This window comes from Homo sapiens, chromosome 9, assembly GCF_000001405.40.
Source record: "Homo sapiens chromosome 9, GRCh38.p14 Primary Assembly".
In the NCBI taxonomy this organism is placed as follows: domain Eukaryota; kingdom Metazoa; phylum Chordata; class Mammalia; order Primates; family Hominidae; genus Homo; species Homo sapiens.
In genome coordinates this window covers 81,683,839-81,702,367 of record NC_000009.12, presented here as the reverse complement: position 1 = coordinate 81,702,367, position 18,529 = coordinate 81,683,839, and the positions used below count along the sequence as shown (strand labels likewise).

General features: G+C 45.5%; 1 protein-coding gene and 1 long non-coding RNA gene across 22 annotated transcripts in view, besides 5 other annotated features; one reads left to right on the top strand and one right to left on the bottom strand.

Moving 5' to 3' along the window:
* Nucleotides 1-12,655, bottom strand: part of TLE1-DT (TLE1 divergent transcript) — an 87,188-nt gene extending 74,533 nt beyond the window's left edge. The window contains exon 1 of the long non-coding RNA NR_109772.1: nt 12,409-12,655. This is a non-coding gene — a long non-coding RNA (TLE1 divergent transcript). The remainder of the gene's footprint in view (nt 1-12,408) is intronic.
* Nucleotides 12,274-12,423: a silencer, noted in NCBI's record as "silent region_19976". NCBI's record gives its function as "represses an Ori minimal core promoter by ATAC-STARR-seq in GM12878 lymphoblastoid cells {active_cell/tissue: GM12878}" and the evidence as "EXISTENCE:reporter gene assay evidence [ECO:0000049][PMID:35858748]".
* Nucleotides 12,574-12,923: a silencer, noted in NCBI's record as "silent region_19975". NCBI's record gives its function as "represses an Ori minimal core promoter by ATAC-STARR-seq in GM12878 lymphoblastoid cells {active_cell/tissue: GM12878}" and the evidence as "EXISTENCE:reporter gene assay evidence [ECO:0000049][PMID:35858748]".
* Nucleotides 12,574-13,510: a biological region, named in NCBI's record as "NANOG-H3K27ac-H3K4me1 hESC enhancer GRCh37_chr9:84303773-84304487".
* Nucleotides 12,796-13,510: an enhancer, noted in NCBI's record as "NANOG-H3K27ac-H3K4me1 hESC enhancer chr9:84303773-84304487 (GRCh37/hg19 assembly coordinates)". NCBI's record gives its function as "activates a minimal SCP1, AML or CMV promoter by ChIP-STARR-seq in primed H9 embryonic stem cells {active_cell/tissue: H9 hESC(primed)}" and the evidence as "EXISTENCE:reporter gene assay evidence [ECO:0000049][PMID:30033119]".
* TLE1 (TLE family member 1, transcriptional corepressor) overlaps nt 12,821-18,529 on the top strand; it is a 105,865-nt gene continuing 100,156 nt past the window's right edge. For all 21 annotated transcript variants that reach the window (XM_006717259.5, XM_047423817.1, XM_005252163.3 and 18 more), the window contains exons 1-4: nt 12,821-14,151; nt 14,934-15,034; nt 16,472-16,535; nt 16,648-16,692. In XM_006717259.5, the coding sequence (XP_006717322.1) occupies nt 14,128-14,151; nt 14,934-15,034; nt 16,472-16,535; nt 16,648-16,692 (234 nt within the window). In that variant the 5' untranslated portion in view covers nt 12,821-14,127. The remainder of the gene's footprint in view (nt 14,152-14,933; nt 15,035-16,471; nt 16,536-16,647; nt 16,693-18,529) is intronic.
* Nucleotides 17,166-18,073: an enhancer, noted in NCBI's record as "VISTA enhancer hs556". NCBI's record gives its function as "enhancer in: neural tube[3/5] | hindbrain (rhombencephalon)[4/5] | midbrain (mesencephalon)[3/5]" and the evidence as "EXISTENCE:transgenic organism evidence [ECO:0001131][PMID:17130149]".

Below are 18,529 nucleotides of genomic sequence, written 5' to 3'. Positions count from 1 at the left end.
CTTTAGATAGATAGATAGATAGATAGATAGATAGATAGATAGACAGACAGATAATCTTCTGCTTTTCCCCCCTTAATTATAGCATTTACCAAGTTGTAAATCATCCTTCCTTTCTTTGTGGAACTGCAATTTAGGGGATGAATTGGGTGTTGCCAGAAAGCACACAACTGAAGGTGGCCATGTTTTTCCACTGGCAGATACAGTTCTAGAGACCTGAGGCAGCTAGAATAGAACTATTTGCAGGAATATGAATTCTTAAAGTATCAACTTCACCTCAAAAGTACCAAGAGAAATCCTACCAAGCTTGTGGGCAAAATACATATACACATTTTTCTATCAGTAGATCCATGGGGAATGTGAGAACAGAGGAAGAAATGGCACTGGAAGACTAGCTAAGAAGTCAGCTGTGGCTACTGGCTGCCAGTGAACTCTCTAGAGCACCAGGATGGGACACCCAGCTCTCCTGCTTGTGACTCTAGGAAAAGTACTGGGCCCCACATGCCTTTTCAGTGAAATAGGGATGATAACAGTGCCTACCTAATAGAAATGATGTGGGAATTGAACAATGAGAACACATGGACACAGGAAGGGGAACATCACACACTGGGGCCTGTTGTAGGGTGGGGGGAAGGGGGGAGGGATAGCATTAGGAGATATACCTAATGTTAAATGACGAGTTAATGGGTACAGCACACCAACATGGCACATGTATACATATGTAACAAACCTGCACGTTGTGCACATGTACCCTAAAACTTAAAGTATAATTAAAAAAAAAAAGAAATGATGGGTACAGTAAATTACATCATATTAACATGTAAACTACTTAGAACAGCATCTGGCACATAGTAAGTACTCAATAAAAAATTATAGGCCAGGGGCTGGGCATGATGGCTCATGCCTGTAAACCTAGCACTTTGGGAAGCTGAGGCAGGAGGACCACTTGAAGCCAGGAATTTCAGATCAGCCTGGGCAACTTAGAGAAACCCTATGTCTACAAAAACAAAACAAAACAAAACAAAATAAAATAAAATAAAACAAAATAAAATAAATCTTTAAAAATGTCATGCAGGCCCAGCACGGTGGTTCATGCCTGTAATCCCAGCACTTTGGGAGGCCAAGGCGTGCAGATCACCTGAGGTCAGGAGTTCAAGACTAGCCTGACCAACATGGAGAAACCCTGTCTCTACTAAAAACACAAAATTAGCCGCCATGGTGGTGCATGCCGGTAATCCCAGCTACTCGGGAGGCTGAGGCAGGAGAATCGCTTGAACTCGGAAGGCAGAGGTTGCGGCAAGCTGAGATCACGCCGTTGCACTCCAGCCTGGGCAACAAGAGCAAAACTCCGTCTCAAAAAAAAAAAAAAAAAAGTCATGCCATGCATAACTTTAGAAAATGAATAGGCGCCGGGCGCAGTGGCTCACACCTGCAATCCCAGCACTTTGGGAGGCCAAGGCGGGTGGATCATGAGGTCAGGACCAGCCTGGCCAACATGGTGAAACCCCCTCTCTACTAAAACTACAAAAAATAAGCCAGGCATGGTAGCATGAGCCTGTAATCCCAGCTACTCAGGAGGCTGAGACAGGAGAATTGCTTAAACCCAGGAGACAGAGGTTGCAGTGAGCCGAGATCGTGCCACTGCAGTCTGGGTGACAGAGTGAGACTATGTCTCAAAAATAAATAAATAAATAAATAAATAAATAAAATAAAAAAGAAAGTGAATTGGATGAGAATCCAAAATAAAACTGGTACATGAAAAAAGGAATCCTATTTTTTTTTTTTTTTTAGATTGTGGTAAAATATAGATAACATAAAATTTACCATCTCACCTTTTTTTTTTTGAGACGGAGTTTTGCTTTTGTTGCCCAGGCTGGAGAGCAATGGCGTGATATCGGCTCACTGCAACCTCTGCCCCCTGGGTTCAAGCAATTCTCCTGCTTCAGCCTCCCACATATCTGAGACTACAGGCATGCGCCACCATGCCAGGCTAATTTTTGTACTTTTAGTAGAGACAGGGTTTCACTATGTTGGCCAGGCTGGTATCCAACTCCTGACCTCGTGATCCGCCCACCTTGGCCTCCCAAAGTGCTGGGACTACAGGCGTGAGCCACCGCACCCAGCCTAATTTACCATCTTACTAATTTTTTTTTTTTTAAGACATCTCATTTTGTCATCCAGGCTGGAATGCAGCGGTGTGATCTGGGCTCACTGCAACCTCTGCCTCCCTGGCGTGAGCGATTCTCCCACCTCAGCCTTCCCGAGTAGCTGGGACCATGCACGGCTAATTTTTGTGTGTGTGTGTGTGTTTTTTTTTTTTTTTTGTAGCGACGGGTTTTCGCCATGTTGGCCAGGCTGGTCTCGACCTCCTGGTCTCAAGTGATCGTGCCTCAGTCTCCCAAAGTGCTGGATTACAGGTGTGAGCCACAGTGCCCGGCCATCTTACCCATTTTCAAGCATACAGTTCGGTGCCACTGAGTGCATTTACCTTGTTGTGCAACCATCACTGCCATCCATCCACAGAACTGTTTCACCCTGCAAAGCTGAAGCTCCATACCCATTAAACAAGAACTCTCCGTTACACCCTACTCCCAGCCTTGGGCAACCACCATTCTACTGTTGCCTCCAAGAATGTATTACTGTAGGCCCCTCATATAAGTGGAAGCATTTGGCATTTTCTTTTTGTGACGGGCTTATTTAACTTAGCATAACGTCCTCAAGGTTCATCCATGTTGTAGCATGTGTCAGAATTTCCTTCTTTTTTGGGCCTATTGACTTTTAATCTGTCAATTCTTTTTTCAAATTTTCAGAAAGTTAAGATGTAAATATGATAATCCTCTCTTCTCTCCAGCAAAGGCAAAAATCACATCTCTTCAAACACTGCATTTACCTGCACATAGAAATGCGAATTGAAAACTGCTTAAGAAAGGTATCATTCCTTGAGGCAGGCTGTTTACATTAATCAACGTTTCTCTAATACTTGTCAGTGTTTTGTAACACTTTTTCAAGTGCCAATTGCAACTTGCTAGTTCTTCTGAAGTGTGGAGGCTGCAAACGGGGGAAACCAGGAATGGGAACTCTGTTCCCCTGGGGCATCTACTGCCATGGAGAAGCATCAATTCTTTTCATGGTTTCGTTTTACATAATAATTAGTTATGTGGATGGTGGCTCAAAGTATTGGATGGATGGATTATCACCATGTGTGAAAAGTCCTGGTTTCCCAGTATTTTCATATTTGCCTCCCTAAACACTCAAATTTTACATCACAAATAGAGGATTTAATCTGTTCACTCGTTAACTAGAATCTTGTTTACTAATGTCACAGAAAGTTTTCCCTTCAATAAACATAACAGTGATAGGAAAAACACAACATACTAAATAGCTATGATTAAAGGAAAAAAGAATTGATAGACGGGATATCCCAACTGTCATCTCTCAGATTATGCCTTGTCGTTTTTCACAACTTTTCTGGAAAACTGCTTATTTATTAGCACATCATGAATACATGCCCTTATGATTCTGCATGAGCACAACTTCAGTGTCCAAGATTTAGTGCTATTTTCATTTCTTTTTTTTTTTTGAGACGGAGTCTCGCTCTGTTGCCCAGGCTGGAGTGCAGTGGCGCCATCTCTGCTCACTGCAAGCTCCGCCTCCCGGGTTCATGCCATTCTCCTGCCTCAGCCTCCCAAGTAGCTGGGACTGCAGGCGCCCACCACCACACCCGGCTAATTTTTTGTATTTTTAGTAGAGACGGGGTTTCACCGTGTTAGCCAGGATGGTCTCAATCTCCTGACCTCGTGATCCGCCTGCCTCGGCCTCCCAAAGTGCTAGGATTACAGGCGTGAGCCACCGTGCCCACCCATTTTCATTTCTTTTCATGAGTAATATTTAAAGCTTGGTACACGCAATAATCTGTATCAGCATTACATTTCAAAATATTAAGGAAATTTAAAAATCAAACTAACAATTTCTAAGTTTCACTGCTAGGTCAAATGATGAAAAGGCTAGCAAAACAACTATTCATAATAGAAATATAGGGGCTGGGTGCAGTGGCTCATGCCTGTAATCCCAGCACTTTGGGAGGCCGAGGCGGGCAGATCACCTGAGGTTGGGAGTTCAAGACCAGCCTGATCAACATGGAGAAAACCCGTCTCTACTAAAAATACAAAATTAGCGGGGTGTGGTGGCCCGCACCTGTAATCCCAGCTACTCAGGAGGCTGAGGCAGGAGAATCACTTGAACCCAGGAGGAGGAGGTTGCAGTGATGGTGCCATTGCACTGCAGTCTGGGCAACAAGAGCAAAACTCCGTCTCAAAAAAAAAAAAAAGGCCGGGCGTGGTGGCTCACCTCTGTAATCCCAGCACTTTGGGAAGCCAAGATGGGTGGATCATCTGAGGTCGGGAGTTCAAGACCAGCCTGACCAACATGGTGAAACCCCATCTCTACTAAAAATAGAAAATTAGCTGGGTGTGGTGGCGCATGCCTGTAATCCCAGCTACTTGGGAGGCTGAGGCAGGAGAATCGCTGGAACCCAGGAGGCAGAGGTTGCAGCCGAGATCGCGCCATTGCACTCCAGCCTGGGCAACAAGAGTGAAACTCAGTCTCAAAAAAAAAAAAGAGAAAGAAATAAAGAAAAAAAGAAAGGAATAAAGGAATTAACGTTTATTTGCTGTTGCCTTATTCTTAACATAAAACAGTTTTCTTCTTTATTTTATAATAGATTTTCTGGTGATTCTGAGATTTATGGATCATAAAACAATGCTTTAGAGGATTATTAATGTAATACCCTAATGTATTTAAAGATTTACATTTTATATTAATTGGTAACTAATGGACATTTGGGACTCCTGAAGAAAACCAAACAAAAATAAAATATCATAAATAATAAAATAAAACTACTAAAAGATCCAGAGCAAAAACACTGGGTAATACTTCGGTTATTAGTATGACAGCTTTCCCATGATCAGGGGAAAAAATCATTTTTTCATATATATATGTATATACATATACATATATATACACATATATACATATATGTGTATATATGTGTGTGTGTGTATATATATGTGTGTGTATATATATGTGTGTGTGTGTGTGTGTATATATATATATATATATATATATTTTTTTTTTTTTTTTTTTTTTTTTTTTCCGAGACGGAGTCTTGCTCTGGCTCTGTCACCCAGGCTGGAGTGCAGTAGCAAGATCTCAGCTCACTGCAACTTCTGCCTCCTGGGTTCAAGCAATTCTCCTGCCTCAGCCTCCCGAGTAGCTGGGATTATAGGCACCCGCCACCACACCCGGCTAATTTTTTGTACTTTTAGTAGTGATGGGGTTTCACCATGTTGGCCAGGCTGGTCTCGAACTCCTGACTTCGTGATCCACCAGCCTCGGCCTCCCAAGTGCTGGGATTACAGGCGTGAGCCACTGCGGCTGGCCTCATACTTTTTCTTTTTTCTTTTTTTACTAGAAACATTACAAGTAAATCTTTTAACTATGAAGTGAATTCCATTATAATGCACAAAAAAAAGAGATGTAGACAATGAACCTAGAATTGTTTTCCCAGACTTTTCATCATGAAAAATTTTCAAACATAGAAATATTGAAAGAATAGTAAAATGAATAGCTATAGACATTATCCTGAAATTCTGTAATGGTTAACACATTGCCAAATTTGCTTTCTTTTTCTCTCTCTACATACACTTTTTATTTGCAGTTGCAGGTGTTATTTGAAGTTGTATGCTTCACCATCTATCTTCTCAGAATAACATCTTCCAAAATAACCACAATATTCTAACATCAAAAAAAGGAGAAGCATAATTCTATACTATCTATAAATATCCAGTCCAAATTAAAGTTGCCCAAGACATCTTGCATGTTTTTTTTTTAAATCCAGGGGCCAATAAAGATTTACACATTGCTTTTTCATTATATATCTTTGTTTTTAAGGAATAGTCCTTCCCCACTTCTCTCCTGTCTCTCTCGACATTAACTTTTTAAATAGCTCAGGCTAGCTGTCCTGTAGAATGTCCCAACATTCTGTATTTATTCCATTTAACTTGCTCAACTAGACTTAAAGTTTGTATTCTGGAAACGTGAAGGTACCTGGAACATACACTTGCACTCTAGTCCCCTTCCCATCCCGAGAGTTCGCCTGCCTTCAGCTCTGAAGAACATCTGAAGATCATCAATTAGTTGAACTCAAGCTTTAACCCTTCAATGATATGGCTGGCTTCAGGAAGAAAAGTTATTTAAATGATGCTGCCAAAGTGAAAGCTTTTAAAGGAAAAGGAAAGATGTCTCAGTTTAAAGTTGATTTCCTAGCAAGTCCTTGGCCTGCAGCAAAGGTGGCTCAAGCAGAGAACATTAAGGGGCCCAGGTCTGCTCTTGTTATGTGAATATGTAGGAAGGAGCATCAAAGGTGCTTCCTTTACTTTTTTCTTTTTTCTACCAAATGCTCTTCAGCTTCAGTCGAGCTAAATGCTAAACTGAATGAATTTTTTTAAAAAGTGTATAATCCCAACTTTCCTCAGACTTTAGAACGGGTTAAAAAAATAAAAAGAAGGCCGGGCGCGGTGGCTCACGCCTGTAATCCCAGCACTTTGGGAGGCCGAGGCGGGTGGATCACAAGGTCAGGAGATTGAGACCATCCTGGCTAACACGGTGAAACCCCGCCTTGACTAAAAATTCAAAAAATTAGCCGGGTGTGGTGGCGGGCGCCTGTAATTCCAGCTACCCCGGAGGCTGAGGCAGGAGAATGGCGTGAACGCGGGAGGCGGAGGTTGCAGTGAGCTGAGATCGCGCCACTGCACTCCAGCCTGGGCGACAGAGCGAGACTCCGTCTCAAAGAGGGGCAGGACAAACTTCACTGAGATCTTTTATTATGGTCTGAACTCCAGGCAGTGTTTCATCGAGCCCCAAAATACTGTTCTTGCTTTTCCGGGGCATCTCGCTGGTAGACAGGGAAAGCTCTGGCAGAAAGGCCCTCTGCTTGAACTACTTCAAAGAAACTAATCATGAATATATCCTATTGGTGTGAAAATCCCAAATTAATCAGGTAACATTAATACATAGGAGTGTGCCGTACATATGCATTAGTTGTAAACAGACTTGGTCGGGCGTGGTGGCTCACACCTGTAATCCTAGCACTTTGGGAGGCCGAGGCAGGCAGATCACGAGGTCAGGAGTTCGAGAACAGCCTGGCCAACACGGTGAAACCCTGTCTCTACTAAAAATACAAAAATTAGCTGGATGTGGTGGTGGGCGCCTGTAATCCCAGCTACTCGGGAGGCTGAGGTAGGAGAATTGCTTGAACCTGGGAGGCGGAGGTTGCAGTGAGCTGAGATCGTGCCACTGCACTCCAGCCTGGGTGACAGAGCAAGACTCTGTCTTGGGGGGAGGGGAAAAAAAGATGTAAACAGACTTAGTAAGGGGCATTAACAGGCAGAAGAACGTCGTACAATGGGATTTATATCTGCACTGCTATGATTGCTTATAAACACATGCTATTTTAGACTGATATCTTTCTTGAAATATAGACTTAAGTAAACAAAAGTTCGGCCGCAGCTGAGGTGGTGTTCTTCTGCAAGCCTCAGACACAGTCAAGCTTTTTTACAAACGTGATTGGTGGGCTAAGAAGTTTATCCGCCTGGTTCCTCAAATTCCCAAACAGTTTATTTGAATACTGAGTGAATAGCTAATCTGGTACAAGTTCTGGGGCTTTAACAAGGTAAACGAATGGGTGGGCTGTGAAAGTAAACACTGCATTTCCTCCCAGGCTCACCCTAGCTTCCAAAATTCCTCTCCCTCACTCCTTTCACTCTCCCCAGCCTTCTAGTTCCCAAGCTTGGTCTCTCGTATCCTGTAAAAGTACTGAAATTGCAAAGGAGACATTTTTAATTATAAGTACTACAGTAACGAATTCAAGTACACTCGTTTATCATAAAGGGCTTTCCCATCTGTCTCTAAAGTATACTTAAAAATGCTGTGTATTTGATAACATTAGCACCAAGCATCTTCCACATGTTAATATCCAGTGTTTTAGATGTTCGCTCCCCCCACCTCAAAAGACCGCACAGTGCTGGTTCCAGAAAGAGAACATTTATCTCTCCATGTTTGGGAGTGCCTGTGTGGTCTCTTCCTACTTTATTTGCACTCCAATCCTTGGGGATCTCATCGCAATCCCCCTAGGCAAAGGGAGATTAGGGAATAGGGCTTTCTGCTTCTCCCCACTCTGACAGAGAAGGGAAAACAACTTCCCCAAGTCCCTCAAGTTCTTCTGGCCACAGTACAAATTGTTCTTGAGCATGGAGGGCTTCCAAAAGCCCTAATTAGCAACTCACAGCAAACATTTCTTTGCATTAGCTAATGATCCGGCTGCACTTGTAAGCAAACAGAACCAACATATCTAATCAATGCTGAAAAACCAACCAAATGCCTATTAAACATCTGGATGTAATTTTCTAGTTAGAACAAAATGAAAACATATGCAGGTTCCTTTGATCTTCGTCTTAACAAAGAAATTGTTGATAAAAAAGCATACTGGTCAGTCAATGTGTCATTTTCATAAAGTCTGCTCATTTCTCTTCAAATGCTCCCAGTTTAATTTAGTTGGTTTCCTGCAATCTCTAATTTTACCATATTGTGTGAAACCGCAAGAGATTCTTTGGAAGTGATTTTATTTGAGGTTTTACTGCTGCATGGATCTGCTACTGATTTTTTTTCCCTTCTCTGCGTTCTTCCTTTCACCTCCACGTCCATCTTGCCCTTTTCTTTGGTAAAGGAGTGGGGGAGAAAAAGATTACCAAGAAATGCTGGGAAAAATTCTTCTGGACCCTACATTCTTAGGTTTAAGAAAACTATCAATTAAAAAAAAAAAAAGGTGGGGCGGGGTGGCTCACGCTTGTAATCCCGGCACTTTGGGAGGCCAAGGCGGTCGGATCACCTGATGTTAGAAGTTCGAGACCAGCCTGGCCAACATGGTGAAACCCTGTCTCCGCTAAAAATACAAAAATTAGCCGGGCGTGGTGGTACACGCCTGTTATCCCAGCTGCTCAGGAGACTGAGGCACATGAATCGCTTGAACCTCGGAGGCGGAGGTTGCAACGAGCTGAGATCGCACCACTGCACTCCAGCTTGGGTGACAGAGCGAGATGCTGACTCAAAAAAAAAAAAAAAGTCAAATGAGGAAATGTATGAGCAATAATTCTCAGCTAAAAGGAAGAGAACACAACAAAAGTGGTCTGTTAAAAACTATAATTATTGGCCAGGTGTGGTGGTGCATGCCTGTAATCCCAGCACTTTGGGAGGCTGAGGAGGGCGGATCACGAGGTCAGGAGTTTGAGACCAGCCTGGCCAACAAGGCGAAACCCCGTCTATACTAAAAATATAAAAATTAGCCGGGTGTGGTGGCACACGCCTGTAGTCCCAGCTACTGGGGAGGCTGAGGCAGGAGAATCTCGAACCCAAGAGGCAGAGGTTGCAGTGAGCTGAGATGGCACCACTGCACTTCAGCCTGGGAGACAGAGTGAGACTCCGTCTCCAAAAAAAATTAAAAAATTACAATTATTATTTCAAATAAAAAAGTAATAGATTTAAAAGATGTCTAGTTGCTACGATCAGCATCTATAACTTTTCCTATTTTGTTTAGTATCTGTACTAGATAACATCTAGCTTTTGTAATTACTTAGGCTATTGCTGAGTTGAAAATTTGATAATCAGCAACAAATGAATGGGAATATACCCACATATGCATCAAAAGAAAATGAACAAGCTGACAATCTTTCTGTTTCTCTGCAGAGCATAAAAAGGGTACTGTGTTTTTCAGAGAAAATTTCCAGTGGGAGCATCATACATTTCACATAAAAACATCATTGACATATGAATGTTAAAGGTAAAGAAGATTATGGTTAACAGGCTTTAAATGGAAGACCAAAATTATAGATTTCATGAGGAGGACTATTTTCTTTTAAACAGGCTGTAGGCAATCTGCACATATATTATTTATTTAAAACATAAGATTAAAGCTACTTGACTGTTTAAACGCCGTCATTTGTAATGCAGTTTGATGAGAGTTTTGTAGTATAATTATTACAGCATGACAATCGTGGAGAAAATATGACCTTGAAAAGGGCAGAGCCTTCTCCCACTCTGACAGACGATGCTCTAAATGGGAAAAAAAGGCTTCAAAAACCAAAACCAACCATTTTTATGCACACAATTAAAGGCCTTCCAATTTTAAATTCATAATGCTCTGTAGATACTACAGATACTTCATTATAAGGAAATCAGAAGGCCTGGTGTTTCAAACTCTATTGGCAAGGAAAGACTAGTTAAAAGAGAATTTCTAGTGTTTACTCATGGCAAACTGGGAAATATGGTGAGCAGACACATTGTCTGTGAGTAGTTATGTTAGAGAACATTTAAAGATGCCTTAGTACTGATTTTGAGGGCAGCGGGGTGGGGAAAGAAGAGAAGTAGCAACACTTTTGCCCCATCTCAAAGCATATTTTAATGGCTCTGTTTAAACTTAATGGGAGTGTGCCAGTTATTCAAGATACAGGCACCACATAAAGCCTGGGTAAGCCGGGGAGGAATATCAGTTGCTCCAGTTGTCACAGCATGTATACAAGCATACTTGTGGCATCCAAGCACTTTCTGTCCGGTCCTGGAGCTGATTATGGGATGAACTGGCCGCAGACTGGTATATGTGGCTCAATCACTAGATAATTTCAAGGAAAACAGGTTGCTAAAGGCCCTGGGATCCTATGATTCCAAAAAGTCCTGTATGTCGAGCAAAACTGTCATCGTCACCAAATTTAACCAAGGAAAGTGAGGCAGTGCTTTCTTCTTTTTTGTTCTCCATGTTAGCAAAATGAATAATACAGCCGCCTTCCCAACTGTACTTAATGAGAACACCACAAAGCTACAATGCCCAACTTGTTTAAGAATTTACTATGGCTTCGTACAGACTGGTTAAAATCGCTTTTTTATTTTTTCATTTATAATTGATATTTGGGAGTGATGCAATTATAGACAAATCAATATCATACATATTTAAAAACAACTCCAACAGTGAAATGTATTATCTAAAATGACTTCTAAAACTATTTCAAGAAAAAGAACTCTGTAAAAGCACATCTTTAAATAAAATGTATGTCTGTTTAAATAAGCTCCTTCCCGTAAGTCTCTTGAAGGTAAAATAATAAAATAATAACGTGGGGGTTATTAATACCAAAAACTTAACTAGTTTCCAACATAAGATAAATACTTGTCCAAGATGTGCCCTTATGGAAGAAGTTACCACCGTTTGGCTAAACCAGCATTATTCATTCACTGCTCATGTGGAAATGTTCCTCAAACAAAAGCATAAATGCGGCAATACTGACGGTTTTCTGCTGTGTATTTAGAGACATACACAAAAACCAAAGACTCTCAGCATTAATTATACAGCATGTCTTGATTATTACAATCTCAAAATCCCTTTTAACTCAAGTTCCACTTCATAAGAACCTTAGCCACGTCATTTACCTAACTCTTCCCATTTAGCTCTTCACACAGCTCAGCTCAGGAGTACCACCCAGACTGTGGGGGTGGGGTGTGCGGGACAGGTTTTTCAGGTCTCAGTGCTGGTTTATTACATTGTCTCTCTTTGTTCCCAGGAATTGGAAACAGACTCGTAGTCTTGTAGCTGAGAAGTTCCTAAAAACCTCAGCCGCTCCCCACCTCTCCCAACACAGCGAAGTCAGGACTTTTAAGACGAAGACCTGGGATTTCGCGCCCCGGGCAAAACGTCTCATCTGCGGACACGCGTGCCTTGTTCTGGCAGCACCCTGGGAATCCTTCCCGCCAAACGGGACAGGACGATCTTTTTGAAAAGTGGCTTGAAATCCTGCAATAAAAATCAAATCCTACCACTTTGGGTGCAAAGGGGGTGGGTGGGGTGGGAGGACATCACAGTCGTCTTTGCTGGTGTACCTACGCCAACCGTGGCGTTGCTCATTTACGCATTTCCAACTAAGTGCACAGTCCACTCCCTCTCGTACATCCGTAAAAAGGCAGCTCAAGGAAAAACAAACCTCAGATAAATTTTTGAATGTGGCCTCACTTTTAGAGTAGCATCAAACAAGGGGTCCAGCACTGAAAAACACATTTGCTCGAATTACCAAAAGCCCCCCTCCGCCTCCAATAAGAAACTCCGCAGCTAGTCTTTGAGTTACTTTCACTTAGATCTGAGGATTTTCATTAAAGGGAAAAGTGAGCAAGTGGCAGGATTTTTGCTAACTCGAGCCCTCAGCTTCCCCGGCTGCACGCTCGCCAGTCCCTCCCGCTAGCGCGCGCCCGCGCGCTCTCTAGCCAGCCCCACGTTACTTTGATTGACAGCCCAGCCCCGCCGCTCTCCTTCCCACCGACCTTCCCATCATCAGTGCCAATCTCCGCGAATCGCCGCTTCCCATTGGCTGGTTTTGGCGTCCCGCGGCTCCTCCAGGAACAGTTCCTCACCAAGCCCGGGAGGACGCGGCTGGCGGAGGAGGGGCCGGGATGGGAAGGGAGACCGAGGAGACGGCGGAGATGGAAGCGAGAGGAGGGGGGGAGGGAGAACGCCCCGTCCGGCGCTGCGCTGCCATACGCTCCGGGGAGGAGCGCGTCAGCGCCCCACGTTGGTTGCAGCGCACGCGATTGGCTGATGCGGGCCTTCTGCCCCCCCCCCACCCCCCAACCTCCCGGGCTCACGTCCCCCGCCGGCTCCGCGCTCGCGCCCCCCGCCCGAACGGGGCTGGGCGGGGCCGGCGCTGGTTAGCTCCGGAGTGTGAAACCGCGTGTTAATGTAAGCGGCGCGAGAGGCGCGGGCGGCGGCGGCGGTGGGAGCGGCGGCTGCAGAAGCAGCAGCAGCAGAAACAGCGGCGGGTACTCTGTGCCCCGCGTCCCGGAGGCAGCCGACTGCGCCACCCCACCCTCGCACGGCCGGGCGGGACCCGCGCCACCAGCCCGGACCTCCGTCGTCCCGCGGCGACCAAAACCCCCGCTGGCCCCACCGCTGTGACTACTCTGGACTCGCCCGCAGAGTTTGCCCGCCGGGGAGGGTGGCCGATTGGCGGAGCGCACTCCTGCTGTTTTCCCCACCATCTCGTGGATGTCGTCCCTCGGGTGGTGAGAGAACTTTGCAGTGGGCTGGAGCGCCCTTTGCGGAGAAGCACACGAAGGTGAAGGAAGGAAAGAAAGAAGACCGAGGAAGAAGGAGCTCGGAAGAAGGGTCCGGAGCGGCCGGTCCGGCCGTGCAGGGCGAGTGCGCCCGAGGCGCGGCGCCCTGATGCTCCCCGGGCTCGAGGAGCATTGGGCACTTGCGGGACTGCTCTCGGTGGAGTAGCCCCGTCGGGCCCGGAGGGTTTGTGCAACCGCGGAGAACACCGAGTGCTGGTCGCACGGGGCGTGCCGAGCCGCCTCCCGGCGCGCCCTCCGCACTTTCCCCGCCTCGTCATCCGTCGCTCCCCGGCCAGGAGCCTCCGCTGCGTCTTCAACCTCGCTCCCCTTTGCGTCCCGGGAGCCTGCGAGCACCCGGCCGAAGGCGCAGCCGAATCTTGCGGGAGTCGCCCCGAAAGCGTCGGGTTTGTGTGGGGTTAGCGGGGGCCGCCGCGCCACCTGCACCTCGCCCGCCGCCGCCTCGGGGAAAGCCCGAAGAGGAGGCGGACCAGGAGAAGAGCAAAGAAAAGCAGTCCGTCTGGATTTGTTTGCCCAGGACTGGCGCCGCGCACGCGGATCGCCGAGGGGAGTGCGGTCGGAGTCACCGCGCCCCCGCCTCCCCGCCCGGGCAGCTGAGGCCGGGGGTTGGAGCGCTGCCCCCGCGCACAGTCCCCGAGCGCCCGACGTCTCCGCGCAGGTTCTTGAAGCAGCTGGGCCTGGGGCGCCCACTAATGTGGCCCTGAGGGCCGGAGCCCGCACCGACGGGAGCGGGAGCCGGAGCAGCTGCGGGCGCCGAGTGGCCGGTGCGCCCGGCGGAGCGCGCGTGCGTGGCCAGCGCGCTCCCCGCTTCTGCTTGGCTTTCCGGCTTAATTTTCCTCGGCGGGATTAAAGTTGGAAATTGACCGGAGAATTGAGTTGCCGGGGAACAGAGCCCCGGCCGCCGCCAGAGCGATGTTCCCGCAGAGCCGGCACCCGGTGAGGCGCGGCTGGGTGGTGGTGGGGGGCCAGGATCGTTGGGGAGGCGCTTCTCCCGGGCGGTAGGGAGACTGGTGGCTTCTGAGGCCCGGCGGACCTTCTCGCCCTCAGCGGTGTAAGGCTGGGGAGGTCTGGGGCCCTCTCTTCCTGGGGTGGGGAGTGGGCCGAAACTCTTAATTTTCTCCCTCCCTTTGGGCTCCTTCCTACTTGACGTCTATACCGAGCGGACAGGGGCGCTGGGGAAGGCTGGGGTTTCTCTCCTGCAGCCATATCCCCTCTACCTTCCCCGAGTGGGGGCAGGGCGCCCCCCCCTTTGTTTCTCCTCTCGCCTATTTACATGTCAATGCGGCCCCGGTTCCGGTGCGTCTGGAGGTGGCCCCGGCGACTCTGGGAATGGGGAGCGTAAAGGAGTTGTTTTTCTCCTCTGGTCCCCGGGGTCATTATCGCCGCCGTGGGGGAAGGGGCGGCGACACCGACAATCTGGCCTGGTCTTCCCTGGCCGCCGGGGAGCCCCCTTCCCTTTGGCCTGGTGACCCGGGCGCACTTAGCGCAATCCGCCCTGGAGACTGGGAAGAGCTTCCGAGCCTCTTTAGAAGCCGGGGCCCGGGGAGGGTCCGCTTTCCCCCTCCCCATAGTGAAGGGCAAACTCGAGTTTGGGGCCTCGTTTTCAGCCACTTCTAACTTTATGTTTATGTCCCACCCGTTCTTGCCTTCTCTGACTTACTGCTTTATTCATCCGCCCGCATTCCCGTCCCTCGGTCCCCCTCGCTGGTCGCCCCCAGACGCCGCACCAGGCTGCAGGCCAGCCCTTCAAGTTCACTATCCCGGAGTCCCTGGACCGGATTAAAGAGGAATTCCAGTTCCTGCAGGCGCAGTATCACAGGTGCGTGTCCGGCCGCGCCATGCGAGTGGTCGCGGGCGTCCCGGTGCCCCTTGCACCCAGCCGGGTGGCGGCGGCGCCTGTACTTAGTTCTTGCGTCCAGGCGGTGGCGTGTGGAGTCTCAGTTAAGACCTGTCATTCAAGTTACCCCCTTTCCTGGTTCTTCCCGGGCCGCCTCTTCTCTTGTCTCCTCCTCCTCCCATTGTTTCCCTTTTGCCGGTTTGCACTGTTCCAGGGAGTCCTTTTTCATGTCTTTAGGAGTTGCATGAGAATCGTCAATATTTGCACTTCATGTATTTATTTTTCAGCAGACTGAGCTGAAACATTGGTTCAATCGATGTCTCAGTCCTGGAGTGTGGGTTCAGGGAAGCAAAGCCATGTTGAAATCGCTGTTTGCCATACTAGAAAATTGGGTTTTCTGAGGCAAAGTCCATTAAGGAAGGCTAGATGCTTATAACATTGCCCATCATTGGTGATGGTGAGGGAGGTGGGTATAATAGTATAAAGAAGAAAGCTCACCTGCTTTGGCGTCATTTCGGATTGGTTTGGGTAGGATGAGAGAGTGGAGTCACATTTATATCCATCTCAGCCTTAGTTTCTTCAAGTAATGAGACTTACCTTCAAAGGACTTATAAATTTTTGTAAAATACTTTGCCAATAGTGAACTTCCCAGAAAGGTTAGTTTCTTTCCCTTGTTCCTATGAAGTTTTACCTGATTCTAACTCAGAAATAACTGTATTGACATTTTTTGCTTTTGTCATGCTTGAGAAAAAGCACACAGATGAGGCGAAGTGGCTTGGGTGTGAATTTTCTTACTTTGTCAGGGGCTTTCTCATTATTGACCTTTTGTCTACTTGTAGATAATATCTCTGCAGCTTGAGGCATACTTGCACACACCGTGTTTACCCAGCAGGGAGAACTTCAACCCACTTTATTGCAGTAGCTACTTGACATATTTTGGCAGGGATTTAAAAACCAAAGGTTTTGAAAGGGACCAGCAATTGTAGGAGTAACTTAACAGATAGGATTTTCAAACCTAGAGACCGTTTGAGTTGGCAAAGATGGCACAGCCTATGCCTAAGAGTGAAGATTGTGCAAGGGCCGGATTTTGGTGGAGTACAGAGAAACAAACTGATGCAGGAAGGTAGGGAGCAGATGACCATGAGGAGGAATCAGTTAGAGGTTCTGACAGATTTTTTTCATTCTTGTCATCTAACCAGATAGGCACCAAGAAGAATGGTAGCTGAATGGACACCTTGTATTGTTCACATTATTCCTTTTCCCTATTAAATGCAAGGACAAAGCTTTTGGGTGTTTACCTAGATAGTTTATGGCTTTTCCAAATTGGTCTGTGTTTTTACTTGAAGTGCAAATATGTGAGGCAGATGTTAAAACAAGTGACATAATGTTTACATTAAGTTGCCTGTTTTGTTTTCCTAGCCTTAAATTGGAATGTGAGAAACTGGCAAGTGAAAAGACAGAAATGCAGAGGCACTATGTGATGGTAGGTATCAAAGATTGGACTTTTTCCTTTTTCATATGATATTAGCAAACGTGTTAGCAGAGTGTAAAAAACATGAGTTAATGAAATGCTTGATTCTTTTTTCTCTTTACAGTATTATGAAATGTCATATGGATTAAACATTGAAATGCACAAACAGGTAAGCTTTAGTTGAACTTCAAGCTGAAATGAGACATCAGTTCATATGATTTAATAATACTGGCTTTGTTCTCAGTAGTGGGCTCTAGGGGTGGGGGTTTGTATGCTATTTTTCTGCCTTGGTTTCCTGTCCTGTGGATTGATGGTAGTATTCTGCATCAAGGGTTGCTTCTTGATAATTACAAGTGTTTAAATGACTAGGAGAGGGAGAGGTGTTTTGGAAATATAAACTAGCCTCTTTATTGACAGATAGGAATTAAGACTTGAGTTTACTTTTTCACCTGTATAGATTTATCCTCTTGAAAGGGCTGGGTATCTTCTACAGTTGCTGAAGTTTAGAATAGTTAATGTTTTTGTGCTGTTTTGCAAGGAAGTGTGGACCTGTTGGGGGGAAAGAAGGGTATTCAGGAGTTTTTTTTAATCGTGGTAATCAAGGTATATGACTATCTGTGGAGTATTCTTTATGCTTTGGGGCTGCATGAAGCAATAGTCAGGATTAGTGGCTTATTAGCAAACAAATTTTTGAAAAATTTCTCAGTTGTTGCAGGTGTGGATGTGAAAAAAGCATCTTTTTATGGCCAGAGCATATGTTGGGAGTTGCTTCAGTCCTAGTGGTTTTTAAAGCATGAAAAGATTAGTGACTGGAAAGCTCTAGCAATGACTATGAGTTTGCAAGTTCCCATAAAATTCACACTTATGGCTACTATAATGGTGTATAAAAAGAGTATTGAGCTGGAACAAGGCACTAAGGACCTCATAAGAGAAGAAAAGCTAAATGATTGCTCAGCCCAAAGGACCCTCGATTGAGTAGTCATTGTCTGCCAAAGAAAGCATTAATGGCAGGGTGTAAGTATTCTGGAGATACGCTGACATTCACTTTTTCATCAAGACGCTGGTACAATAAGTCTTTTAGAAATCGATTGCCTCTTAAAAAATTATCATCAGATGAAGTTGCACAGTTGGACACATTTCAAAGTGCAACAATACAATTCTTACTTGATGTATATGTGCTATTTCATCTCAAACCCTTGTTTCATTAAATTAAAGAGCATGGCTGACCGGCTGGGGCACAGTGGAGAAATTGATTAGTTCAGCCTTCAGATCTTCCTTATATTCAAAGACTTTCATTAAGCAAGTGTGTTTCAGAGTTGAATTCTGCTTTTGTAACTCCGCACTCTTTGATTTTTAATTCATCATAGATTTCATAATGTTAAGTTATCGTGTACATTAGATCTGTTCTCAGATTTGTGTTTGGAAAGAGATTGTGATTTTCAGGGCCTTTTATTAATAATGTAATTGGGCCTTTAAAAATGCAGATTTTACTATGATTTACAAAGTTGGTAGCCTACTTTATGTTGGGTTTGTGCCTTTGTTTTTGTGTGTTTCTCAGTGGCTAGTGCCTTATTCAGGCACTTGTAACTTCTTGATAGTAAATGGGCTAGAAGATCTGTGGCTAACATCTATCGTCATTTAAGTGAATTATGCAAATAAACTTGGCCTAGGCGGTTTAATCTTTTTTTTTTTTTTTAATTTACTCTGAAGGGCACTTTTTTTTGGATAACAGATATTATGGAAGAGTAAGAGGAGACTGAGCTTTTTCTTAAACCCATAAACTCAAAGGATTTAATAACCTCATTGACTCTTTTACAAGGGAACACCACCTCAGTGTGATGCTATATGCTGGTGCTGGGTTTATTGGAGGAGCTAAAAGAGGTGTGTAATTCTTCTGGGTTCCTGTAGGTTATGTGGCGGGATGACCTCTTCTTTATCATGTAGGGAGAAGGGGTGAAGTGGGTCAGAAGCACCATGGTGTGAGAATAGTTTTCTAATGAGTTTCT